Source organism: Homo sapiens, chromosome 5 (assembly GCF_000001405.40).
Source record: "Homo sapiens chromosome 5, GRCh38.p14 Primary Assembly".
Classification (NCBI taxonomy): domain Eukaryota; kingdom Metazoa; phylum Chordata; class Mammalia; order Primates; family Hominidae; genus Homo; species Homo sapiens.
Genome location: NC_000005.10, coordinates 78,704,193 through 78,732,150, shown reverse-complemented (window position 1 = coordinate 78,732,150; position 27,958 = coordinate 78,704,193). Strand labels below are relative to the sequence as shown.

General features: G+C 43.1%; 1 long non-coding RNA gene across 3 annotated transcripts in view, besides 3 other annotated features; it reads left to right on the top strand.

Moving 5' to 3' along the window:
• LOC124900191 (uncharacterized) overlaps nucleotides 1-27,958 on the top strand; it is a 115,042-nt gene that overhangs the window by 40,650 nt on the left and 46,434 nt on the right. Inside the window, exons 1-2 of one of the 3 annotated variants that reach the window (XR_007058834.1) lie at nucleotides 11,513-11,808; nucleotides 14,022-14,184. This is a non-coding gene — a long non-coding RNA (uncharacterized LOC124900191). Of the gene's footprint in view, nucleotides 1-11,512; nucleotides 11,809-14,021; nucleotides 14,185-27,958 lie in introns of those variants that run through there. The other 2 variants (XR_007058832.1, XR_007058830.1) reach the window with 2 other exon arrangements.
• Nucleotides 3,996-4,105: an enhancer, noted in NCBI's record as "active region_22714". NCBI's record gives its function as "activates an Ori minimal core promoter by ATAC-STARR-seq in GM12878 lymphoblastoid cells {active_cell/tissue: GM12878}" and the evidence as "EXISTENCE:reporter gene assay evidence [ECO:0000049][PMID:35858748]".
• Nucleotides 3,996-4,365: a biological region, named in NCBI's record as "Sharpr-MPRA regulatory region 2428".
• Nucleotides 4,071-4,365: an enhancer, noted in NCBI's record as "tiled region #2428; HepG2 Activating DNase matched - State 5:Enh". NCBI's record gives its function as "activates a minimal TATA promoter and a strong SV40 promoter by Sharpr-MPRA in HepG2 cells {active_cell/tissue: HepG2}" and the evidence as "EXISTENCE:reporter gene assay evidence [ECO:0000049][PMID:27701403]".

Genomic DNA, 27,958 nt, shown 5'->3' with positions numbered 1-27,958 from the left:
CACTCACATATCTATGTTCTGACTAATGCACAACAATATTAAAGCACAGGCCTTGGCTCCTGTTGAAACTTTCCTACTGAAGAGATCAAAGGCATGTTGCTATTGTTCCCTCCCATTCTCCTGGGATGCTAGGAGATCCTGCAGAGTCTCTCGAAGGACATGATTTTAAACTGCCTCGAATTTGCAGAGGTTTTGCTATTATTCATTAATAAAAGGTCTCAGGATTTCAGTATTTCTATCAAGTGGAAATCCAAAGCTCAACAGTTCAAGTAAAGCTTGAATAAAAGGCAAATGGAAACTGAAAATCTAAAGACCCCATAGTGGGTTGACTTAGGTTCTCAAGAATATATGCCCAATACCTGTGAATATGACCTTATTTGGAAATAGGGTCTTTGCAGATATTACTAAGATAAGGTTCTCGAGATGAGATCATTCTGCATTTAGAGTGGGCTCTAAATCCAATGACTGGTGTCCTTATAAAATAAAGGAGTGGGAGATTTGACACTCAGAGACACACAGGAGGCAGAGATTGCAGTGGGTGTCAGCAACCCGAGGAACAGTAAAGCTGGCCAGGCAGGCAGCCTCCACAAGCCAGGGAAGAGGCTTGGAAGATGCTGTCCTTCAGAGCCTCCAGAAGGGACCCACCTTGCTGACACTGTGTGCGCTTTAGACTTCTTGCTGTAGGAATACATTACTATTGCTTTAAGCCACCCAGTTTGCAGTAATTTGTTATGGAAGCCACAGGAAGCTAATACAGGCCCTTTTACCCATCAAGGCTTTTGTCTTCAGAGTCCAGCAAAATTGTGAAGTAGAAGAAACACTTCTCCAGCATCTCCCCCTGCAGTCCCCTCTATTCTCTCTCCCCTGTCTTACTGCCCACTCTGTCGCCCCTCAGCCAGATTTCTCCTTCCTGAATTTCCTCTCCTCCAAGTGCCAAAATATCCTTCTCCTTCCTTCAGACTTCCTACTGTACCAGGATCTCCGCTACCAGTCAGCTTACAACAGCTTACAGACGTGTTCACAGCAGGGTGGAGACCAATCCTGTGGCGGGGGCTGGCCCTCTCAGGAATATTCTTATTTTCAGAACAGTTGGAAAGGAATTCTCTCTACTGGGGGAATCTCTGGAACTGGCATGTTGTCAGATGGATAACTGCAGGGACACCTCTCTCAAGCCTCCCTGCCTCCTTCCCCTCACCTCCCCCTCAGGGACCCTAGTTTCTGTGGCTTTGTTAGAGAAAAAGTCCCCACCATCTGTACAGGCCCAGCACCCTACAGTGAGTGGGGCCCAGCTGGCCAAGGCAGATGGGCCTAGAGGTTAAGGCTGGTGGGGAGCTGTGGAGAAACTGCTTTGAAGGAAGAGAGATTTTCTAGGATGGCCATATGTGGACAGGACTGGCTACATAATTGCAGGGCCAAGTGCACTGAAAATATAGGGCCAATTGTTCAAAATTCTTAAGAATTTCAAGATGGCAACAGCAGTAGGTATATACCCCAAAGAAAGGAAATCAGTGTATCAAAGAGATATCTGCACTCCTATGTTTACTGTAGTACCATTCACAATAGCCAAGGTTTGGAAGCAACCTAAGTGTCCATCAACAGATGAATGGATAAAGAAAATGTGGCATATATACACAATGGAGTACTATTCAGCCATAAAAAAGAATGAGATCCTGTCATTTGCAACAACATGGATGGAACTGGAAGTCATTATGTTAAGTGAAATAAGCCAGGCACACAAAGACAAACTTTGCATGCTCTCACTCATTTGTGGGGGCTAAAAACCAAAATAATTGAATTCATGGAGATAGAGAATAGAATGATGGTTACCAGAGGCCGAGGAGGGTAGTGGATAGGGGAGGGAAAGGGGGGAAGGTTAATGGTGCATAAATATAGTTAAATAGAATGAATAAGATCTAGTATTTCATAGCACAACAGGGTGACTATAGTCAACAATAATTTATAGTACATTTAAAAATAACAAAGAGTATAATTGGAATGTTCATAACATAAAGAAATGATAAATGCTTGAGGTGATGGATACCCCATTTACCCTGTTGTAATTATTATGCATTGTATGCCTGTATCAAAATATCTCACATACCCCATAAATATATATAACTACTATGTACCCATAAAAATTAAAAATTAAAGATGGCAACAGCAGAGGATTAAACCACAGGCAGGAGCATTCTAGCCATGCGGCCTGTGCTGCCACGAAGGCTGCGTACCTAGAAGCCACCCGTGAGTGGGGTCCCCAAAAGCTTTGAATCTGAACTGAGGGGTGTATTACCTGGGGGGTCAGTGGGGGTCCACTTGTGGACTCGAGCTCATTTCAGAAATCAGTGTGGCATAGCGAGAAGCTGCCACCATCAAAGTTGTGGGCTCAGCTTGGCAAGGGGGACCTCCAGGGAGGCCATGTACAATTTGTCTGGATGAGTTTGTGCAGGTAACCGAAACAAAAAAAATTTTAAACCCAGGAAAATGATCAGGTATTTAAAATGTTTCCACTAGTGGGGCTCCTGGTAGCTGGGAGAGCTCTTGTTTATGAACCATAAAGTCATCTTGTCTCTGCAGGCCCAGGAACTAACTTACTTTGCATGAGAGAAGGGATGAGGTATTCGGGATGGGGAGTTTGGGATGAAGGGAAAGGTTAGAATGTTGATGCAAAGGGAGCTTTCAGAAGACGGAGGCAGGGGACATGGAGGGTGGGGGTGGGGAGAGATATGTCTAGGGGGCTTTTCTTTTTCTTTTTCTTTTTTTTTTTTTTTTTTTTTTTTTTGAGACGGAGTCTTGCTCTGTCGCCAGGCTGGAGTGCAGTGGCACGATCTCTGCTCACTGCAACCTCTGCCTCTCAGGTTCAAGCAATACTCCTGCCTCAGCCTCCTGAGTAGCTGGGACTACAGGCACACGCCACCACACCCAGCTAATTTTTGTACTTTTAGTAGAGATGGGGTTCCACCATGTTGGCCAGGATAGTCTTGATTTCTTGACCTTGCCATCCACCCGCCTCAGCCTCCCAAAGTGCTGAGATTACAGGCATGTGCCATTGTGCCTGGCCTCTAGAGGGTTTTTCTAAGGGACGTTCTGTGTGATGTGAACAGGGAGGCCTGTGGACCTCCCTACCCCACCCTCCCAGCCTGCCCTACCACCTCCTCCATCTCTGCCCTGGCACATTTTCCTTTAAAAAAAATTTTTTTTTTTTCAGAAATCTTTACGGAGTAAGCTTCCTTTGGGGGAACAAAGAAAAATATTTAGTCCATGGTGAGAGAAGAGAATTGTGGGGTGATGGGGTGAGGGTTAGTATATCATAACCTTGTTAAAATGGAGGTTACACCCCTGCAGAGCTCACTGGAATGAGGCAGGTAGTTTATGTAGCCTCAGAAAAATCACAAGACTTGCTTTATATTTTCATTTAGTCCCTTCACTTGGAAAAATCATGAAGGGAAAAAGGAAGGCTGGTAGTCACAGCCTGGTTGGAGGTGACTTCAGTCACTGGGGACAGAGGAGGGTATATGAGACCGATGGCAGTTTAGTTCTGGGGGTGAGGTGGGAAGTTGGGGAGGTAGAATTAAAGCCACAGGCTCCTACCTGGCTGACAGCAGATAAGACCCTGAGAGTACGCAGGCTAAAGCCATGCCACTTACGCTCCTCTTGCCTGTCTAGCTTTGGGCTTTTATCACAACCAGATTCAAAATTACTGCCCTATTCCATTCCCTCTGGATCCTGGATACTTTGATGATAGGCATAACTTTATTGCTAGACAATAAACACTCATATTAATGACATTTTACATTTAGAAAGTGCTATCTCTAGGTCACTGTAGTTGGTAGGTTGCGAGGGTGTATGGTTGTGGTCAAATTCACCTGTGGTTGAGTGGGCTGAGGCCAAACTGTGTGTCATGGCAGCTGGCAATATGGGGAAGGGAAACTGGGCATCTTTTGTTTACCGAGCACGCAGAAGTTTTTCTTTGTTCTAAGTACAGGTTCTGCAGATGAAATGCCTCAAGATACAATGTGTTCCCCTTAAAAGCCCAGAGAAAATGTCCACTGATACTGTCCAGTTTCTATAAACCACACTGGTACAAAAGAAAAGGGAGCACTGTGGCTGATGTTTGGCATTCTTGTGCAGGATGAGGAGAGGCATTTTCCATTACCTGGTTCACCAATGAGACATATCGCCACCCTTTCATACTCTTTCAGAGTGCAACCTTTGCTGGCCTCAGCTCAGGGGAGATTCCCAGGCAAAGTCCACTGGCCCATGACAAAGCAAAAAGCATTCACTTCTAGCTGGTGGTTTCAACTTCAGTCCTCAGGTGTACAATCAATTCAAGCATACCATCTTCTAAAGCAGTGGCTTGAAATCTACCCTATGTGACATAGTATCTGCTTATGGAACAGCTACTCATACTCATTAAAGCAGCCAAAAATATTAATATTATAAAGTCCTAAAATGCCATTTTGTAGAGGGTTTTTTGTTTGTTTGTTTGTTTGTTTGTTTGTTTTTGAGATGGAGTCTCACTCTGTCACCCAGGTTGGAGTGCAGGGGCTCAATCTCGGCTCACTGCAACCTCCGCCTCTCAGGTTCAAGCAATTCTCCTGCCTCAGCCTCCCGAGTAGCTGGGATTACAGGAGCCCGCCACGACACTCAGCTAATTTTTTACATTTTTGGTAGAGACAGGGTTTCGCCACATTGGCTAGGCTGCTCTCGAACTCCTGACCTCAAGTGATCCACCTGCCGCAGCCTCCCACAGTGCTGGGATTACAGGCGTGAGCCACCACACCCGGCCAAGTTTGTTTTTGTTTTTGTTTTCTTTTTTGAGATGGAGTCTTGCTCTGTCACCCAGGCTGGAGTGCAGTGGTGCAATCTTGGCTCACTGCAACCTCCACCTCCCGGGTTCAAGTGATTCTCCTGCCTCAGCCTCCCGAGTAGCTGGAACTACAGGTGTGCACCACCACACCTGGCTAATTTTTGTATTTTTAGTAGAGACAGGGTTTCACCAAGTTAGCCAGGATGGTCTCTATCTCCTGACCTCGTGATCTGCCCACCCTGGCCTCCCAAAGTGCTGGGATTACAAGCGTGAGCCACTGCACCCAGCCTCCATCCTTTACCACTTATCTCCCCATTCCAGACCACCACTCCTCCCTCACCCCCCATCAAGAGAAAGTCTGCAGGAGGCCAGTGGTCTCATTCCATTGTTTAAAGGGCTGAGTGAAATCATCCACCGGGGATTCCATCCATCAAATCAAATGTTATGGATTTGGTTTGTTTGGTAGATGAAAAAGCCTAAATTGGCTGTCTCCCAGTTCATTCTACATACCACTGTGTGAAAGCTAAGACCAAGGGCCCTCCCAAGAAACAACAGAAAATGGATAATTCTGTGAAATAAGAAGCCAGCAGTTCTCAGCACTTCCCACCAGGCCCTGGTCAAAGTCCAGCATGTCTGCTGGTCCATAGTCTCTAAAAGTGGAGAGCAAAGGAGCAGCCACTGCAGCCAGGTTGGTTCATTCATTCATTGCAACAAACATTTACTGAGTGCCTGCAATGTGCCAGGCCCCGTCCTGGGCCCCGTGGCTACAGCCATGATCAAGATTGTTGATGTGGAGGCAGAATGTTCAGGACACCATTGGCCAGGCACGGTAGCTCACATCTGTAATCCCAGCACTTTGGGAGGCCAAGGTGGGTGTATCACCTGAGGTCAGGAGTTCAAGACCAGCCTGGCCAACATGGTGAAACCCCGTCTCTACTAAAAATACAAAAATTAGCTGGGCAAGGTGGCACACACCTGTAGTCCTAGCTACTTGGGAGGCTGAAGCAGGAGTATCACCTGAACCTGGGAGGCAGAGGTTGCAATGAGCCGAAATTGTACCATTGCACTGTAGCCTGGGTGACAGAGCAAGACTCCATCTCAAAAAAAAGAAAAAAGAATGTTCAGGACACCCATAAATCATGCCATGTAGATACAGAGTCAACCCTGGAAATACATACGGTCACAGAACCTTCTGACAAGGACACTGTCACTGACTATCTCTGCTTTCCATGCTCGATCCCACAGCCATCCCCACAAGTGAATATTGCCAAGGGCAGAGAACTCTCTGCTTCTGAAGTAAGCTATTCTACTTTCCACCCAACCTAGTTTTGTCCCCTAGAGCTTCAAAGAGCCTCTGTGCCCCTTCTGCTCCATAATCACCCTTCCAATATTAGAATGCAGCTGCCATGTTTCTGTTATCCTTCTTCACAAAGAATATTGGGGACCAGGGCATGGGAGCATGGTCCAGATTGAGTCCAAGCTAAAGTTCATAGCCAGGTGTGGTGGCTCATGCCTGTAATCCCAGCACTTTCAGAGGCCGAGGCAGACAGATCACCTGAGGTCAGGAGTTCGAGACCAGCCTGGCCAACATGGTGAAACCCTGTCTCTACTAAAAATACAAAAAATTAGCCCCGTGTGACGGCACGTGCCTATAATCCCAGTTACTTGGGAGGCTGAGGCACAAGAATTGCTTGAACCTGGGAGATGGAGGCTGCAGTGAGCCAAGATCATGCCACTGCACTCCAGCCTGGGTGACAGAGCAAGACTCTGTCTTAAAATAAATAAATAAATAAATAAATAAATAAATACAAAATAAAGTTCAGAAATGCCTGGGCTTTTCTGGAAACTGCTGGGGCAGGCCCACCAGAAGTTTGAATGAGAGCCTGAGCATCCTGTAAGGAATGAACTTATCCAGAGAGAAGATGGCAACTGGGGTGACCACCTTGACTCACGTACCAAGCCTTGATCATCAGAGAAAGGGACAAACCTGAGCAGAACTCAGGGCACAAAACAGATTTTAAAAATGCATGTATATATGGGACAAAAGTGAAACACAATGTTAATTCTTTTTCTGGGAGGTGAGGTTATGAGTAATTTTAATGTTTTCTTATATTTTTAACATTTTCTACAATTAAAATATAAAACATAAATTGACTAAAACTTTATTTTTTGAGACAGTGTCTCATTCTGTCGCCCCAGGGTGGAGTGCTGTGGTATGACCATAGCTCACTGCAGCCTTGAGTTCTTGGGCTCAAGATCATTGGCGATCCTCCCACCTCGACCTCCCAAAGTGTTGGACTTATAGGCATGAGCCACTACACCTGGCCTGAAACTATTTTTCTTCCTCTTATTATTTTTTTGAGATGGAGTGTTGCTCTTTTTGCCCAGGCTGGAGTGCAATGGCACGATCTCAGCTCACTGCAACCTCTGCCTCCCGGGTTCAAGCGATTCTCCAGCCTAAGCCTCCTGAGTAGCTGGAATTACAGGCATGTGCCACCATGCCCGGCTAATTTTGTATTTTTAGTAGAGATGGAGTTTCACCATGTTGGCCCGGCTGGTCTCAAACTCCTGACCTCACATGATCCACTCATCTTGGCCTCCTAAAGTGTTGGGATTTACAGGTGTGAGCCACTATGCCTGGCCTAAAACTTTATTTTTAAGAAACCATTTAGAAATTGATTTTCTACAGTGATTTACTTATCTGCTCTATTTTACTGCAGAACAAAGGTCCTTTAGTTTACATAATAAACAACATTCAGAAAAATGCTGTTTGCAAATATGTGTTATGACACTGCTAACCATGTTGTTTCCTTGGAATTAGCCATTCCCCACCCCCATCCCCCCCCCCCCCCCGCCCAAGTGTATGAAAAAAACAAAAACAAAACAAAACAAAACACCTGGTGCCTGGCCCACAAAGATACTTTAAAATGGCTTAATCATGTTCTTTAAATAAGCAAGCAGCAAATCCTTATTAGCATCTGTATGGTTTGAAAAAAATGAAAGTAACCACCAATAGAAATTCATTTCCACTAAAGGATTACAAAGGGTCTTGCAGAGAAGGCCTGAGACTAAGAGCATTAGGACAAAATTTCTGGAGAAGTTATACACTGCTTTTCAACACACAATCACATTCCATTAAAACTGCTTTGCAGATGTTTGAGAGATTTGCAGAACTGATAAAGACATCCACACATGTCAAAACTACCATCTAGAGAACTTAGGTTATAGTTATAGGACTTAGGGAAATAATAACTCTGAATTTTATTTTGTGACCAGTGATTATTTAATGCATAAAGTAAGATTTCTTATTCTTAAATTTTTTTTTTTTTTTTTTGAGACAGAGTCTTGCTCTGTCACCAGGGCTGGAGTACAGTGGTGCAATCTCAGCTTACTGCACCCTCTGCCTCCTGGGTTCAAGTGACTCTCCTGCCTTAGCCTCCTGAGCAGCTGGGACTACAGGCATCTGCCACCACACCTGGCTAATTTTTGTATTTTTAGTAGAGACTGGGTTTCAGCATGTTGGCCAGGCTGGTCTTGAACTCCTGACCTCAGGTCATCCACCCACCTTGACCTCCCAAAGTGCTGGGATTACAGGCGTGAGCCACCGTGCCTGGCCTAGATTTCTGATTCTTAAAATAAGCATCTTAATGTTTTCAAAACTACAACTTCTGCTTTTCTAAAACCCTGTTGGCTGGGTGGTCATCAAAGTTTGTTTCTCATGTGATGGAGAACTTACAAACATACTGTTTTCTATCTCATTGCATGGTTTAAAGTTAAGAGGTGAAAATGTTCACACTTAAACCTATTTTAAATCTGGCTCACTTGAGACATGTGTTTCCAGATGGGCCCTGGGATGGGATGGGGTCTCCTCGGAGACAGAAGGCACTGAAGAGTCCCACAAAACAGGGTTAGGAATATACCTGACTCACTGGCAGTGACAGCCTTTGGTCTGGAGAGTGCTTTTTGATACAAATGAAAGAAATATTTCAAAACCAAAGTAAGAAGGGGAGGATTGGAAGGATTTAACTTATTGCCCGGGATTTGTGATTTTATAACTTAGGGGTTTTTTTTCTTCCCCAAACTCTAATTTAGTCTTCTATTTATTTTTATTTTTATTTTTTGAAACCGAGTTTTGCTCTTGTTGCCCAGGCTGGAGTGCAATGGCATGATCTTGGCTCACCGCAACCTCTGCCTCCCAGGTTCAAGTGATTCTCCTGCCTCAGCCTCCCGTGTAGCTGGAATTACAAGCATGAGCCACCATGCCCAGTTAATTTTGTATTTTTAGTATAGACAGGGTTTCTCCACATTGGTCAGGCTGGTCTTGAACTCCTGATCTCAGATGATCCGCCCTCCTCGGCCTCCCAAAGTGCTGGGATTACAGGCGTGAGCCACCGAACCCGGCCCTAATTTAGTCTTTTTGTTTTTTGTTTTTTGTTTTTTGTTTTTGAGAGATGGAGTCTAGCTAGTTGCCAGGCTGGAGTGCAGTGGCGCAATCTTGGCTCACTGCAACCTCTGCCTCCCAGGTTCAAGCGATACTCCTGCCTCAGCCTCCTGAGTAGCTGGGATTACAGGCATGCACCACTGTGCCCAGCTAATTTTTGTATTTTTAGTAGAGATGGGGTTTCACCATGTTGGCCAGGATGGTCTCGATCTCCTGACCTCGTGATCTGCCCAGGTCAGCCTCCCAAAGTGCTGGGATTACAGGCGTGAGCCACCGCACCCAGCCAATTTAGTCTTTTATGATGACTCTTTCACAGTTCTTGCAGAAACAGCTGATTTCAAAGTGACACATTAACCAGGTGCGGTGGCTCATGCCTGTAATCTCAGCACTTGGGAAGCTGAGGTGGGGGGACTGTTTGAGCCTAGGAGTTTGAGACAAGCCTGGCAATGTAGGGAGACCCTGTTTCTACAAAAAACAAAGCCAAAAACTAGACACGCAAGGAGGCACTCGCCTGTGTCTCAGCTATACAGGAGGCTGGGGCAGGAGGATCCTTTGAGCCCAGTAGATCAAAGCTGCACAGAGCCATGTTCACACCACTGCACTTCAGCTAGGGTGACAGAGCAAGACCCTGTCTCAAAAAAAAAAAAAAAAAAAAAGTGACACATAGCAGTGATAGCAGTGACTCTCTTCTTCCTAGAAGGAAGTATACACTGGGGATCCCTCTCACCTCTAGAAGGAAGATAACTTTAGGGAAAACAAAACTTGGAAAGATTGACTCTTTTGGCTTTATGATAAAATATTTGGGACCCTATGAAAGTAACTTTAAGTGGGAACCCATGTTACAGCCTAGCTTGTGACCTAATACTTAACACAAATATTCATGTAAAGTCAACACTCTACTTTTAGACACAATTTCTTCTGTGTGGTTTGGGGTGTTCTTACTAGCAGCATAGTTTACTGTTGAAAAACTCGGACCGTGGCACCAGATTAGCTGGGTTCAAATCTGAGCCTCACCACTTACTAGTTGTGTATCTTGAGCAAGTTGCTCAGCCTCTCTGTGCTGTGTTTTTCCACATCTGTAAAGAGGAAATGATAATCATAGCTACCTTATGCAATTAGTGTTGGGATTAAAACAGTTAATATACATAAACCATTGAGAATAGTCTTGAGTCAGGGTTGGCGGGGGGGTGGTAAAGAAAAGAGAATATTGTTTATGGTAAATGCCTTATAAGAATTCTTCCCCGTGTTATTTTTTTGGAATTAGCCCTCTCTCTCTCCAAAATGTATGAATAAATAAAAGTAACCACTGTTGTTATTGTAGCTATTTTTATTGTGGCCTAAAAAAGTGAATATTCTTCCCAAGGTCTCTAATTTATTATCAGATTAAAAAAATGCCTGGCATTAGAGAGAATGGAACTCCTTGTTTCAAAATCAGAAAGGTATTTTTTCTATATGGGCATTATTTTTTCTTTTTTTGTGGTTAATTTTCAAATGTGACATATGTGACATTTTAAAGGGGGCATTGTATGATTTCTTTCACGGGAAGAGGCTGAAAATTTGCCATCCTTTTTCAAGAAAATAAGGCAGTGAACCTAAATGAGATTTTTATGTAAATATTACATAGGAATAACAGCACTTCCTATGAAATTGTATCATCCTCCCGTTCTCCCCAGCGTCCTGTTTACCTTCACCCTGCAGCTGTTTGCTGGGTGCCATCCCTGGGAAATCACCTACTAACAATAACCCGGTTGGCTTCTGATCCGCAGGAAGATCATTCTCCCCTATGACAGATGAACACATTTTTCTTTTGTTATTTGTTTTTCTTTTCTTTCACTCACTTTTTCTTTCAAAACTTAGTTTCTTTCAATTCCTTCTAGAGTTTTCCTGTGATTCTTTCTTTTCACTTTTGTTCCCTTCTTAATAATTACTTGGCATGTCCTACTTGTGGGCTACACTTCCTGAATTTCCACACTCTGCAGCTCTTTGAAAAGCCTGCTTTTATTCTTCCCGTCCAGGTCATCTGTGCAAATCTTTAAAGTCATGGGGTTGCCACTAATGACTGGTCGACTCCATTAACGCAGCCTCCCCTCTGTGGAAGTTTGCTTTTCTGGGTCAGTGTCTTTTACTGTGGAGCTTGTTAAGAGTCTTTATTGCTTGAAGAAGGTGCACATTGGAACTTTAAGATTTCCTGTTTATACACAGGGCAGGGCCTGGCTGAACACTGATAGTGTGGGCAAGCTCTCGAGCTTTGCCAAAGGGCTCTCAGTGGGACCCAAGAGGAGCTGCAATGAGGATTTTAAGACAAGTGTCTGCTTAGCTGCCACGGCTATGTTAGAAACTGCAAAAAAAAGCACCTCACAGAGCTGAAGAAAGATCTGGTGCTGCCAGTGGAGAGGTCTGCACCCAGGTCAGGTCTCAGGGGGGCTGCTGTGAGCCCGAAGGCATCTTTGTGCTAGAGGGCAAAGGGCACCCTCTTGTAGGTCCCCCGTCTGAGTGGATAAAAACCTAGGACTGAGTCCCTGTAACTGTGACTGCCAGAGGACTGTTCTCCATACAAACGGTATGTACAGGAAATTTGGTCTTCCCCAAATCCTTTCAGGGTCCACCAGGGTCTGGGGAGGGGGTCACGATCTGCTTCTGCTATAGTGTGACTCCAGTCACAGACCTGAGCAGATCTGCTGGGGCTCAGAGTTTTCTGCCCCAGCTGGGTTTCTAAGCCCCACGTCTTGTCAAATGCTGCCTCTCCAAACCCTTCCTGGGAATAATTGCGTCACTTAGGGTGTCAGCAAACTGTTCCTCCAAGGAGGGGATCTCCTCTCCAGCTGGGGAGTGGGGTACTGAGGCTGACTGAATTACTGGAAGCTGTTTGATGAGTGTGGAACCTCAGCAGAGTGTCCTGGAGAGGGGCCGGGCACCCTGCCACAAGACACCCACAAGGTGTGGAGTTTCTGGGTCAGGAAGAACCAGATGAAGCTGCTCATGTGGCCAAAAGTAGCGAATCCAAGGGACGAGTGTGCATTTTCCAACATGGAGAGGGAAGGAAGCAAGGGGATTTCATCAACTCAGGACCAACCTGAGGGGTCTCATCCGGGCTTGGAGGAGCCTGTGACACCCAGAATGCCCACTCTCAAATGAGGTTCTCCCTCCCTAGCATGGCCCTGGATAAAGCTGGCCTTGTCTTGCTTCCTGGTCCCTGTTATCCAGGTTCTACACAACCCATCCCCTTCCTATCAGTAGAGTCGTCCCTCAGGTCATAGATGAGACTACAGCTTTTTTCCAGCCTAGTCTCTCCAAGATTAGAGCCCTGGAAACCGGATCTGTTTTGGTTTTTTTGTTTCTTTCTTTTTTTTTTTTTTAATCATTTTTCTTTTTCTTTTCTTTTCTTTTCTTTTTTCTTTTTCTTTCTTTTTTTTTTTTTTTTTTGACAGGATCTTGCTCTGTTGCTCAGGCTGGAGTGCAGTAGCACAATCTTAGCTCACTGCAACCTCAACCTCCCAAGTAGCTAAGACTACAGTTGTGCACCACCATGCCCAGCTAATTTTTTAATTTCTTGTAGAGACAGTCTCACCATGTCGCCCAGGCTGGTCTTGAACTCCTGGCCTCAAGCAGTCCTCCCACCTCAGCCTCCCAAAGTGCTGAGATTACAGGTGTGAGCCACTATAGCTGGCCCAAATCTAGTTTGGAAGTAGATAGATGCTTTGGTTTTGAAGTAGATTGATGCTCTGTTCACATGCTGATTTTGATCCATGGGTAACTATTTTTGAGCTCTGGGAAGCAACTGAAATCCCAGGAAGCCTCAGGCTCCTGCAGTTACACCCCAGGTGGGAACAGCCTGAGGCAAAAGGCCATATTTGTGTCTCTCTGACATTCCACATTGAGCTAAGTCTGTGGTTGCAGTTGGTGGGTGGCAGGGAATGGGCTGTGCTACTTGTGGAAGCTTCCAACAAGAGCTTCAAAGGAAACATCGCTCAGGCTGGGTCAAATACCAAGTCCATGAAAGTCTAATTCCAGCAGGAGCAGCCAGGGCCCACCAGGCCTGGGTCTCCCTCTTCCCTGTGGAGGAAGGCTTATTTTAGGTTCCCTCCAACTCTGTGGTTCCACACCCTGAGTGAGCATCCACACTCCCTCCCCCTTGAAGAGCCAGGAGTTAATGTCCTCTGGCCATCTTAGTGCCTGGTCTTGGTGGCACCCACCCCTGTCCCTTGGGAGTCCTTTCCAGCTCCTACGATGTCTTTCCATTCTCGTGAATCCTCTCCCACATGTGTGAGCTGGGGATTATTATCTTTGCTTTAGAAAGGAGAAAACTGAGGTGTGGGCAGGAGATAGAATTTCTCTGTGGGCCCCAGGCTTGTGAGTGGCTGAGCTGGGACACGAATCTGGATCACCAGACTCCGAGTTCAGTGCTCTCCGTATGCTTGTGTAAATATCTCTTCAACAAGAGCTGGTGCCAGGGGGCAGGAACTGTACTAGGGCTCCTCTTGAAACAGGTTTCCTCCCGCCTCAGCAGGACAGCAGGCAGCATGGGGCGTCAGTAAATATTTGTTGAATTGAGACTGCATAGGAAGGATGATGGGGAACAGGGAGCTGGTGAGGACAAGAGGCCAGGAAGGCAGCTACACACAGCAGCAAACCCCTCCCCGCCCAGCCGGAGCACTTCATGCTCATGTGTTGGGAGAGGGATTTGTTAGATGAGACCATTACCTTACTGGTTATGAGGTGTTGTTGTTGTTGTTATTGTTCAACTCCACCACTAGTATTCTTCGTTCTCTCCAGGTTCCAACTGTGCACCTGCAGAAAAGAGGTCAACCGACTCCTGAAGGTAATCATGTCTTCTTCCTGTTCAAAGTAATTTTCATTCTTACATATTTGCCTCATGGTATCTATCAGATAGCTCTTTCCATAACAATCCTACATAATAAATAACCACAAAGCCTCAGTGACATGTAATGGTAAACATTTCTTTTGCTCGTGTGTCTGGGGTGGTCAGCAGAGCAGCTTTGTGGGGGTGCCTCTCACTGCTAAGAGTCAGCTGGCTGTCACCGGGATGACTCAGCTCAGCTCCTTCAGCAGGCTGACCCAGGCGTGTTCTCATGGCATGCTTGAAGAACATAAGAGGGGAGTGGGCTCACGCAAGTACTATGTGATCCTCTGTTTGGGAGCTGTTGTTAACATCCCATTTGCCAAAGCCCGGATTCGAAGGGTAAGGAAATTGGCCATCACTTTAGTGAGAGCATCTATAGAATGACATGGCAAAGGATGCTGGATACAAGGAATGTTGCAAATAGCACGCTCATCCTGGTCCCGACTGGCATTAGGTTCACTCCATAGAGAAGATAAACTCCTGGCCGGGTGCGGTGGCTCATGCCTGTAATCCCAGCACTTTGGGAGGCCAAGGCAGGCAGATCGTGAGGTCAAGAGATGGAGCCCATCCTGGCCAACGTGGTAAAACCCCGTCTCTACTAAAAATACAAAAATTAGCTGGGCGTGGTGGCACATGCCTGTAGTCCCAGCTACTCGGGAGGCTGAGGCGGGAGAATCACTGGAACCCAGGAGGCGGAGGTTGCAGTGAGCCGAGATCGCACCATTGAACTCCAGCCTGGTGACAGAGCAAGACTCCATCTAAAAAATAAAAATAAAAAGGATAAACTCCTGAGTTAGCAACCCCAACATAGTGATGATTTACAACCACCAAAGTCAAATCTTCATCTCCATAAAAGATCTACAGAAGGATCTCTGTTGAGTGTTTAAAACAAAAATAGGTTTATCACAAAGGTGTTTTTTATTTGCTTGGTTTTGGTTTTTCAGGCAAGTGTTGAAAGATAATTCTCCAGGAGTCTCCTGTTTTCTTCATGTCTTGTGAGCAGGGACTTTAACTGTCACTTGTTCCTAATTATATTTTCAAGTATGTTTGTATGATTCCCATGGGGAGCCTATTTCCATGACAGCATCTCCTGCTATCAACCCTGGTCCCTATCAAGGATGGCCATCATCAGACTTCTCAAAGATGTCAGTGCCTCCCTCACCTGTACCCTTGCTACTCTACTGACAGGAATATTCTCTCCACCTTCCTGAGGAATATAGCACAGTGGTGGCTCCTATGGTTTTGTATAAATCCACTCTAACATTCCCACATATCTGAACTTTCTGAACCCTTCATGAATACTATGCTGAGGCAATATCAGCGTTTTCACCTCATTTCTTTTGGGCCATTGTTAGCAGAAACTTTAAGGAGCTATTCTAGCCGTCTATTAGGACAGGTTCTAGGTGTCTTTTCCCTGATGTTAAACTTCAAGTCATGAGAGAGGGCTCCTATATCAATAAATTGCACTCTATCCCATCTTATTTATATTCTACTCTTGCCAGTAATACACACTTGCCACCCCCCATCCACACACACAATCTTATTCCTTTAAGATCTACACCCCCATTGTGATCCTTGGTTGCTACTGGGACACATTAACCAAGCCCAGCAATGTCTTTGGTATGTTAGATATTTACTCTTGGAGCAGGGAGCTGTGTTTCTCTGTTCAGATTGTGCTGAGACATAATCTTCGTTATTGGTCTGAAGACAATAAAAAGAGGCAAGGTCATCTTGAAGAGTACAAATCAGGTGAGGCTTTAGCAGGGTTCCCAGGCAAGGGGCATCTGCTCTGGTCTGCAAGGGGAGAGAATTCAGAGAAGCATGAGAGCTTGCATCTCAGATTCGTGCATCCAAATATCCCTAAATCAAGTCTCAGAGTCTCTCTTTTTCTATCAGGGCCCTGACTTTTACCATAAAAGACTTGTTGGCATTTCCACCCTTTTGGCTGTCTGAGCAGCACCATGATGGTTGGCAAGAACAGGTGCCTTACAAAGGCAGCAAAAAGGAAGCCAAGAAGAAAGTGGTGGATCCATTTTCTTTTTTTTTTCCATGTGCCACTTTATTTTTTGTTTCTTTTTTTAAAATTTGTGATGAGAACACTTAACATGAGCTCCATTCTTGTCCTGTTTTTTTAAAATTTTTTAAAAATTTTATTATTATTATACTTTTAAGTTTTAGGATACATGTGCACAACGTGCAGATTTGTTACATATGTATACATGTGCCATGTTGGTGTGCTACACCCATTAACTCGTCATTTAGCATTAGGTATATCTCCTAATGCTATCCCTCCCCCTCCCCCCACCCCACAACAGTCCCCAGGGTGTGATGGTCCCCTTCCTGTGTCCATGTGTTCTCATTGTTCAATTCCTACCTATGAGTGAGAACATGCGGTGTTTGGTTTTTTGTCCTTGTAATAGTTTGCTGAGAATGATGGTTTCCAGCTTCATCCATGTCCCTACAAAGGACATGAACTCATCCTTTTTTATGGCTGCATAGTATTCCATGGTGTATATGGGCCACATTTTCTTAATCCAGTCTATCATTGTTGGACATTTGGGTTGGTTCCAAGTCTTTGCTATGGTGAATAGTGCCGCAACAAACATACGTGTGCATGTGTCTTTATAGCAGCATGATTTATAATCCTTTGGGTATATACCCAGTAATGGGATGGCTGGGTCAAATGGTATTCTAGTTCTAGATCCCTGAGGAATTGCCACACTGACTTCCACAATGGATGAACTACTTTACAGTCCTACCAACAGTGTAAAAGTGTTCCTATTTCTCCACATCCTCTCGAGCACCTGTTGTTTCCTGACTTTTTAATGATCGCCATTCTAACTGGTGTGAGATGGTATCTCATTGTGGTTTTGATTTGCATTTCTCTGATGGCCAGTGATGCCGAGCATTTTTTCATGTGTTTTTTGGCTGCATAAATGTCTTCTTTTGAGAAGTGTCTGTTCATATCCTTTGCCTACTTTTTGATGGGGTTGTTTGCTTTTTTCTTGTAAATTTGTTTGAGTTCATTGTAGATTCTGGATATTAGCCCTTTGTCAGATGAGTAGGTTGCAAAAATTTTCTCCCATTCTGAGGTTGCCTGTTCACTCTCATGGTAATTTCTTTTCTTGTGCAGAAGCTCTTTAGTTTAATTAGATCCCATTTGTCAGTTTTGGTTTTTGTTGCCATTGCTTTTGGTGTTTTGGACATGAAGTCCTTGCCCATGCCTATGTCCTGAATGGTATTGCCTAGGTTTTCTTCTAGGGTTTTTATGGTTTTAGGTCTAACATTTAAGTCTTTAATCCATCTTGAGTTAATATTTGTATAAGATGTAAGGAAGGGATCTGGTTTCAGCTTTCTACATATGGCTAGCCAGTTTTCCCAGCACCATTTATTAAATAGGGAATCCTTTCCCCATTGCTTGTTTTTCTCAGGTTTGCCAAAGATCAGATAGTTGGAGATATGCGGCATTATTTCTGAGGTCTCTGTTCTGTTCCATTAGTCTATATCTCTGTTTTGGTACCAGTACCATGCTGTTTTGGTTACTGTAGCCTTGTAGTATAGTTTGAAGTCAGGTAGCGTGATGCCTCCAGCTTTGTTCTTTTGGCTTAGGATTGACTTGGCAATGAGGGCTCTTTTTTGGTTCCATATGAACTTGAAAGTAGTTTTTTCCAATTCTGTGAAGAAAGTCATTGGTAGCTTGATGGGGATGGCATTGAATCTACAAATTACCTTGGGCAGTATGGCCATTTTCACGATATTGATTCTTCCTATACATGAGCATGGAATGTTCTTCCATTTGTTTCTATCCTCTTTTATTTCATTGAGCAGTGGTTTGTAGTTCTCCTTGAAGAGGTCCTTCACATCCCTTGTAAGTTGGATTCCTAGGTATTTTATTCTCTTTGAAGCAATTGTGAATGGGAGTTCACTCATGATTTGGCTCTCTGTTTGTCTGTTATTGGTGTATAAGAATGCTTGTGATTTTTGTACATTGATTTTGTATCCTGAGACTTTGCTGAAGTTGCTTATCAGCTTAAGGAGATTTGGGGCTGAGACGATGGGGTTTTCTAGATATACAATCATGTCTCTGCAAACAGGGACAATTTGACTTCCTCTTTTCCTAATTGAATGCCCTTTATTTCCTTCTCCTGCCGGATTTCCCTGGCCAGAACTTCCAACCCTATGTTGAATAGGAGTGGTGAGAGAGGGCATCCCTGTCTTGTGCCAGTTTTCAAAGGGAATGCTTTCAGTTTTTGCCCATTCAGTATAATGTTGGCTGTGGGTTTGTCATAGATAGCTCTTATTATTTTGAGATATGTCCCATCAATACCTAATTTATTGAGAGTTTTTAGCATGAAGGTTGTTGAATTTTGTCAAAGGCCTTTTCTGCATCTATTGAGATAATCATGTGGTTTTTGTGTTTGGTTCTGTTTATATGCTGGATTACGTTTATTGATTTGCGTATGTTGAACCAGCCTTGCATCCCAGGGATGAAGCCCACTTGATCGTGGTGGATAAGCTTTTTGATGTGCTGCTGGATTTGGCTTCCCAGTATTTTATTGAGGATTTTTGCATCAATGTTCATCAAGGATATTGGTCTAAAATTCTCTGTTTTGGTTGTGTCTCTGCCAGGCTTTGGTATCAGGATAATGCTGGCCTCATGAAATGAGTTAGGGAGGCTTCCCTCTTTTTCTATTGATTGGAATAGTTTCAGAAGGAATGGTACCAGCTCCTCCTTGTACCTCTGGTAGAATTCGGCTGTGAATCCATCTGGTCCTGGACTTTTTTTGGTTGGTAAGCTATTAATTATTGCCTCAATTTCAGCGCCTGTTATTGGTCTATTCAGAGATTCAACTTCTTCCTGGTTTAGTCTTGGGAGGGTGTATGTGTCGAGGAATTTATCCATTTCTTCTAGATTTTCTAGTTTATTTGCGTAGAGGTGTTTATAGTATTCTCTGATGGTAGTTTGTATTTCTGTGGGATCAGTGGTGATATCCCCTTTATCATTTTTTATTGCATCTATTTGATTCTTCTCTCTTTTCTTCTTTATTAGTCTTGCTAGAGGTCTATCAATTTTGTTGGTCCTTTCAAAAAACCAGCTCCTGGATGCATTGATTTTTTGAAGGGTATTTTGTGTCTCTATTTCCTTCAGTTCTGCTCTGATCTTAGTTATTTCTTGCCTTCTGCTAGCTTTTGAATGTGTTTGCTCTTGCTTCTCTAGTTCTTTTAATTGTGATGTTAGGGTGTCAATTTTAGATCTTTCCTGCTTTCTCTTGTGGACATTTACTGCTATAAACTTCCCTCTACACACTGCTTTGAATGTGTCCCAGAGATTCTGGTATGTTGTGTCTTTGTTCTCGTTGGTTTCAAAGAACATCTTTATTTCTGCCTTCATTTCGTTATGTACCCAGTAGTCATTCAGGAGCAGGTTGTTCAATTTCCATGTCGTTGAGCAGTTTTGAGTGAGTTTCTTAATCCTGAGTTCTAGTTTGATTGCACTGTGGTCTGAGAGACGTTTGTAATAATTTCTGTTCTTTTACATTTGCTGAGGAGTGCTTTACTTCCAACTATGTGGTCAGTTTTGGAATAGGTATGGTGTGGTGCTGAAAAGAATGTATATTCTGTTGATTTGGGGTGGAGAGTTCTGTAGATGTCTATTAGGTCTGCTTGGTGCAGAGCTGAGTTCAATTCCTGGATATCCTTGTTAACTTTCTGTCTCATTGATCTGTCTAATGTTGACAGTGTGGTGTTAAAGTCTCCCATTATTATTGTGTGGGAGTCTAAGTCTCTTTGTAGGTCACTCAGGACTTGCTTTATGAATCTGGGTGCTCCTGTATTGGGTGCATATATATTTAGGATGGTTAACTCTTCTTGTTGAATTGATCCCTTTACCATTATGTAATGGCCTTCTTTGTCTCTTTTGATCTTTGTTGGTTTAAAGTCTGTTTTATCAGAGACTAGGATTGCAACCCCTGCCTTTTTTTGTTTTCCATTTGCTTGGTAGATCTTCCTCCATCCCTTTATTTTGAGCCTATGTGTGTCTCTGCACATGAGATGGATCTCCTCAATATGGCACCCTGTTGGGTCTTGACTCTTTATCCAATTTGCCAGTCTGTGTCTTTTAATTGGAGCATTTAGCCCATTTACATTTAAGGTTAATATTGTTATGTGTGAATTTGATCCTGTGATTATAATGTTAGCTGGTTATTTTGCTTGTTAGTTGATGCAGCTTCTTCCTAGCCTTGATGGTCTTTACAATTTGGCATGTTTTTGCAGTGGCTGGTACCAGTTGTTCCTTTCCATGTTTAGTGCTTCCTTTAGGAGCTCTTTTAGGGCAGGCCTGGTGGTGACAAAATATCTCAGCATTTGCTTGTCTGTAAAGTATTTTATTTCTCCTTTACTTATGAAGCTTAGTTTGGCTGGATATGAAAGTCTGGGTTGAAAATTCTTTTCTTTAAGAATGTCCAATATCGGGCCCCACCCTCTTCTGGCTTGTAGAGTTTCTGCTGAGAGATCAGCTGTTAGTCTTATCGGCTTCCCTTTGTGGGTAAGCCGACCTTTCTCTCTGGCTGCCCTTAACACTTTTTCCTTCATTTCAACTTTGGTGAATCTGACAATTGTGTGTCTTGGAGTTGCTCTTCTCGAGGAGTATCTTTGTAGCATTCTCTGTATTTCCTGAATTTAAATGTTGGCCTGCTTTGCTAGATTGGGGAAGTTCTCCTGGATAATATCCTGCAGAGTGTTTTCCAACTTGGTTCCATTCTCCCCATCACTTTCAGGTACACCAATCAGACGTAGATTTGGTCTTTTCACATAGTCCCATATTTGATGGAGGCTTTGTTCGTTTCTTTTTATTCTTTTTTCTCTAAACTTCTCTTCTCACTTCATTTCATTCATTTCATCTTCCATCACTGATAGCCTTTCTTCCAGTTGATTGCATAGGCTACTGAGGCTTGTACTTTCATCACATAGTTCTTGTGCTGTGGTTTTCAGCTCCATCAGGTCCTTTAAGGACTTCTCTGCATTGGTTATTCTAGTTAGCCATTCATCTAATTTTTTTTCAAGGTTTTTAACTTCACCATTGGTTCAAACTTCCTCCTTTAGCTCGGAGTAGTTTGATCTTCTGAAGCCTTCTTCTCTCAACTCATCAAATTCATTCTCCATCCAGCTTTGTTCCGTTGCTGGTGAGGAGCTGCATTCCTTTGGAGGAGGAGAGGCGCTCTGATTTTTAGAGTTTCCATTTTTTCTGCTCTGTTTTTTCCCCATCTTTGTGGTTTTATCTACTTTTGGTCTTTGATGATGGTGACGTATAGATGGGGTTTTGGTGTGGATGTCCTTTCTGTTTGTTAGTTTTCCTTCTAACAGTCAGGACTCTCAGCTGCAGGTCTGTTGGAGTTTGCTGGAGGTCCACTCCAGACCCCGTTTGCCTGGGTATCAGCAGCAGTGGCTGCAGAACAGCGGGTATTGGTGAACCACAAATGCTGCTGCCTGATCGTTCCTCTGGAAGTTTTGTCTCAGAGGAGTACCCGGCCGTGTGAGGTGTCAGTCCGCCCCTACTGGGGGGTGCCTCCCATTTAGGCTACTCGGGGGTCAGGGACCCACTTGAGGAGGTGGTTTGCCCGTTCTCAGATCTCAAGCTGCATGCTGGGAGAACCACTACTCTCTTCAAAGCTGTGAGACAGGGACATTTAAGTCTGCAGAGGTTACTGCTGCCTTTTGTTTGTGCCCTGCCCCCAGAGGTGGAGCCTACAGAGGCAGGCAGGCCTCCTTGAGCTGTGGTGGGCTCCACCCAGTTCGAGCTTCCCGGCCGCTTTGTTTACCTACTCAAGCCTGGGCAATGGCGGGCGCCTCCCCCAGCTGCGCTGCTGCCTTGCAGTTTGATCTCGGACTGCTGTGCTAGCAATGAGCGAGGCTCTGTGGGTGTAGGACCCTCCTAGCCATGTGCAGGATATAATCTCCTGGTGTGCCGTTTGTTAAGCCCATTGGAAAAGCGCAGTATTAGGGTGGGAGTGACCTGATTTTCCAGGTGCCATCTGTCACCCCTTTCTTTGACTAGGAAAGGGAATTCCCTGACCCTTGCGCTTCCCGGGTGTGGCAATGCCTCGCCCTGCTTCGGCTCATGCACGGTGTGCTGCACCCACTGTCCTACACCCACTGTCTGGCACTCCCCACTGAGATGAACCTGGTACCTCAGTTGGAAATGCAGAAATCACCCGTCTTCTGTGTCGCTCACACTGGGAGCTGTAGACTGGAGCTTTTCCTATTTGGCCATCTTGGCTCCACCCCAGTTGATCCATTTTCTAAGAAAGATTGGCATGATGTGAAAGCCCCTGCTGTGTTCAATATAAGAAATATTGGAAAGACCCTAGTCACCAGGACCCAAGGAACCAAAACTGCATCTGATGGCCTCAAGGGTCACATGTTTGAAGTGAGTCCTGCTGATTTGCAGAATAGTGAAGTTGCATTTAGAAAATTTAAGCTGATTTTTGAAGATATTTGGGCAAAAACTGCATAACTTCCATGCCATGGATCTTACCCATGACAAAATGTGCTTCATGGTCAAAAAAATGGCAGACAATGATTGAAGGTCATGTCCATGTCAAGACTACCACTGCGCGGTGGCTCATGCCTATAATCCCAGCACTTTGGGAGGCCAAGGCAGGTGGATCACCTGAGGTCAGGAGTTTGAGAACAGCCTGATCAACATGGTGAAACCCCATCTCTACTAAAAATACAAACATTAGCCAGGTGTGGTGGTGGTCACCTGTAAGCCCAGCTACTCAAGAGGCTGAGGCAGGAGAATTGCTTGAACCTGGGAGGCAGAGGTTGCAGTGAGCCGAAATCATGCTGCTGTACTCCAGCCTGGTTGACAGAGTAAGACTCCATCTCAAAAAAAAACTACCAATGGTTACTTGCTTTGTCTGTTCTGCATTGATTTTACTAAAAAAAAAAACAATACCACAACAATCAGATATAGAAGACCTGTTATGCTCAGCATTAACAGGTCTACCAAATCCGGAAGAAGATTTGGAAATCATGACCTGATAAGTGCAGAGAAATGACTTGAAAGAAGTGGTCAATAAATTGATTCCAGACAGCATTGAAAAGACACAGAAAAGGCTTGCCAATCTATTTATCCTCTCCATGATGTCTTCGTTAGAAGACTAAAAATGCTGAAGAAGCCCAAGTTTGAATTGGGAAAACTCATGGAGCTTCATGGTGAATGCAGTAGTTCTGGAAAAGCCACTGGGGACGAGACAGGTGCTAAAGTTGAACCAGCTGATGGATATGAACCACCAGTTCCAAGAATCTATTTATAGTTCAGACTTATAATAGTGGCACATAAAAAGTCCTATTTGTTAAAAAAAAAAAAAAAAAAAGACTTGTTGAAGCCATGAGTTAACTGTCCTTTGCAGTTCTGTCACCCTTATAATCGGTTCCTGGGACTGATTTTAACCACATTCTACCCTACAATGGCTAGAGGCCTCTGGCTTTCACATCATACCTCAGTTGACACTTAGCTAACCTGAATCATTTGTTTGTCAAGACTTCCAAAGAGTTAACAAAATCTGACCAGTTCCCAAATCTTTGTAATTTTATTGGCTCAACTCCATTCAAGTGTCAAAGTTGTCACATAACCCAGTGTGTCACCTTCTACCTGTACCTGTGCAGGTGACAGTCTTGGTGATTGTGATGTTACTGCCTGCCCAGGTTATCACCACTGTACTCCAAAATCCCATCCTGAGAGTCTGAGTTTTAAAACCACTGTTACCAACTCTCATGGCTTGGTTCTCTTACAGGCAGAATCTGAGACAAAGGTCATATCAGGTCGTTTACTTGGGAGTGATACCCAAGAGCAGGAGTGAGGAACCAGGGGAATAAGACCAGGGAAGATGGAAACCAGTAGAAGGGAACAATGCATAAGAATGTTGGCCTCGTCCCACTCCCAGTGAGACTGAGTATTATACATGATCTGTTTTTGATATTTTAATAAGTATGTTTTTCCTAGGTAATTTTGAATTTTAATTTTTAATGATTTACAATATTTTTCTCATGTTTTAAAATTTTTATTCCATTTGTGGGTTTTTTTTTTCCTGTCCTTTTCTCATTTATTAAGATCCAGGGTTGGTTTTTCAAAAAATGTATCTTGGGCTGGCAGAGTAGCTCATGCCTGTAATCCCAGCTCTCTGGGAGGACAAGGCAGGAGGATCACTTGAGCCCAGGAGTTCAAGACCAGCCTGGCCAACATGGCAAACCCCATCTCCATGAAAAATAAAAAAATTAGCTGGGCATAGTGGCATGCATCTGTGGTCCCACCTATTCAAGAGGCTAAAGTGGGAGGATTCCTCGAACCTGGGAAGTCAAGGCTGCAGTGAGCAGTGACCACACCACCTCACTCCAGCCTGGGCGACAGGGTGAGATCCTGTCTCAAAAAAAAAAAAAAAAAAAAAGAATATATCTTTAAAAAGCCATTTTCATAGTCACTTTCATATGTTACTGATAGGTCAAACACTGATAAAACATTTCTGTAAAGCCTTTTGCAATTTGTATCAATAACTTAAATTTTTCACCTACTATAATTTCTCGAAGACAAGCTGAACTTGGGTCACAGAAACAGGGTAGGTTTCTGGGTGCCTGGCTTAGGAGTCTCAGTAATGCAGGGTTGATTTTTCATGGATGTTTCTCCCCAATTTGTTGCTTATATTTGTTGTTGTCAGTGATGTTTTGGGGCATTAGAAATTTTAAAGTTTCATCTGGTTGAAACTGTTAACTTTAGAAAGTAATTCCCCTGCCAGAAATCAGAAAATTTTCACCCACGTTTTCTTCTAGTTTTCTTCTGGAGATTTGAGATTTTTAAAACATTTAACTCCTAACGCAACTATAGAAGCAGCTGACATAAAAAATGTAAGAAAATAATACCAAGTGCTGGAGAGGATGTGGAGAAATGATCTTTCATACATTGTTTGGGAGAATGTAAAATGATATAATCATTCTGGAAAATAGTTTGGTAGTTTCTTCCCGAAGTGAGCATTACGATATTACCCAGCAATTGTATTCTTGGAATTTTTGTCCTAGAGAAATAAAAACATTCACATGAAAGGCTGTGTGTGAGTTTTCATAACAGATTTATTCATAATAGCAAAATACTGGAAACAGCCCAAATGTCATTCAATTGGTGAATGGCTGAACAAACTCAGGTATAAGCATAAAATAGAATATTCATCGGCAATAAAAAGGAATCACCTATTGATGCGTATAACAATTTAGATGGACTTCAAGGGTATTATTTTTAGTGAAAGGAGACAGTCTCAAAAGGTTACATGTTGTGTGATCTCAATTACATAACGTTTTTGAAATGACAAAACTTTAATATGGAGAATAGTTAGTGGCTGTCAGGGGACAGGAATGTATGTGTGTTGGAGGTTGGGAGTAGCAAGGAGTGGGAAGCAGGGGTAGAAGTGAATGCAAATACAAAGAGGTAGCATGATGGAGTCTTTTTGTGGTGATGCAACAGTTCTTAAGCTTGTTTGTGGTAGTGGTTACACCGATCTGTTAATGGGATAAAGTTGCATGGAACAAAACTTATGTCTATACAAAAACCTGCACATAAATGTTTACAGCAGCTTTTTTCATAAAACTTGGGGGTAGCCAAGATGTCCTTCAGCAAGTGAATGGATAAATAAACTGTGGTACAACCAGACAATGGACTATCATTCAGTACTAAAAAGAAACGAGCTATCAAGCTATGAAAAGACATGGAGGAAACAAATACCTATCACTAAGTGAAGGAAGCTAATCTGAAAAGGCTGCAAACTGTATGATTCCAACTATATGACATTCTATTGTAGAAAAGGCAAAACTAGGGAGACTGTAAAAAGATCAGTGGTTGCCAGGGATTAGGGATCAGGAGAAACAATGAATAGGTAGAACACAGAAAATTTTTAGGACAGTGAAACTGCTCTGCATGATGGCATAATGGGGAATCCGTGTCACTACACGTTTGTCCAAACCCACACTACAAATTTTGGGTAATAATGATGTGTCAAGGTTGGTTAACCAGTTGTGACAGATGTGCTACTCTAGTAAGGAATGTTGCCTGTGTCGGGGCAGGAGGTATATGGGAAATCTCTGTATCTTTCACTCAATTTTGCTCTGAACCTAAAACTGCTCTGAAAAAAAAAATAAAGTTCCTTTAAACAAATGAATAGATAAATAAGTAATAAGTGAAGTTTACTTATAAAATTGCATAGGACTACACATATACACATACGCAAATCATGATTTTTAAAACAGTGAAAAAAAGCAAAATGTGTACTTTTCTTTTTTTTTTTTTTTTGAGACGGAGTCTCGCTCTGTCACCTAGGCTGGAGTGCAATGGTGCGACCTTGGCTTGCTACAACCTCCACCTCCTGGGTTCAAGCGATTCTCGTGCCTCAGCCTCCTGAGTAGCTGGGATTACAGGAGCCCGCCACCATGCCTAGCTAATTTTTGCATTTTTAGTAGAGACAGGGTTTCATCATGTTGCCCAGACTGGTCTTGAACTCCTGACCTCAAGTGATCTGCCCATCTCGGCCTCCCAAAGTGCTGGGATTACAGGCATGAGCCACCGCACTGGCCACAGTGTGTACTCGAATTAATGATAATGATCCATTTCCTGGTTTTGATATTTGATATGGCAGCTACAGAAGATGTTATCTTTAAGGGAAGATGGGCAAAGAGTACACAGAACTCTGTACTATCTTTTCAACTTCCTGTGAGTTTATATTACTTAAAAATAAAAAAAATTTAAACACTTAATTCTTTACTTAATCTGAAATTTATGCTGTATATGGTATGAGGTGAGAATACTAAATTGATTTATATTCACATGGTTAACCAAAGATCCCAGTGTTATATCTTAATTAATACTTACCTGCCCCACTAATTTGTAGAACCTGCTATGAGATTCATTAAACACTTTAAAATTCTGGGATCTGTTTCTAATTCACCTAACTTTATTGTTCTGTGTTTTCTTGAACGCGTGCAAGGATTACACTGATTTGATTATATATAACACATATATCACATATATATTATATATAACACATCTATCACATATATAACATATATATGTTATATATTATATATATAACATATAATGTATAATAATATCATATATAATATATATTTTATATATATTTATCACATATAATATATATTTTATATATATTTATCACATATAATATATATTTTGTATATATTTATCACATATAATATATATTTTGTATATATTTATCACATATAATATATATTTTGTATATATTTATCACATATATATTTTATATATATATATATATATATTTTTTTTTTTTTTTTTTTTAGACAAGAGTCTTGCTCTGTTGCCCAGGCTGGAGTGCAGTGGTACTCTCGGCTCACTGCAACCTCTGCCTCCTGTGTTCAAATGATTCTCTTGTCTTAGCCTCCCGGTTAGCTGGGACTACAGGCACGTAACACCACGCTGGCTAATTTTTGTATTTTTTTGGTAGAGACAGGTTTCACCATGTTGGCCAGGTTGGTCTCAAACTCCTGGCCTCAAGTGATCCACTTGCCTTGGCCTCCCAAAGTGCTGGGATTACAGGTGTGAGCCACCACACTTGGCTCCCAGTCATGATTTGATTATATTTACTTTATAATTTATAATTTAATTATATTTACTTTCAGTAGCGAACAACACCAGTGATTCCTTAATAAAGAGGTGGAAAAGAAAGAAAACCAATATTTTCTGAGCAAGACTAAGATCTTCACATGGATTATGTCACTTAATCCTCCCAATACTCATATGTAGTAGGTCATATTATTATTCCCATTTTAC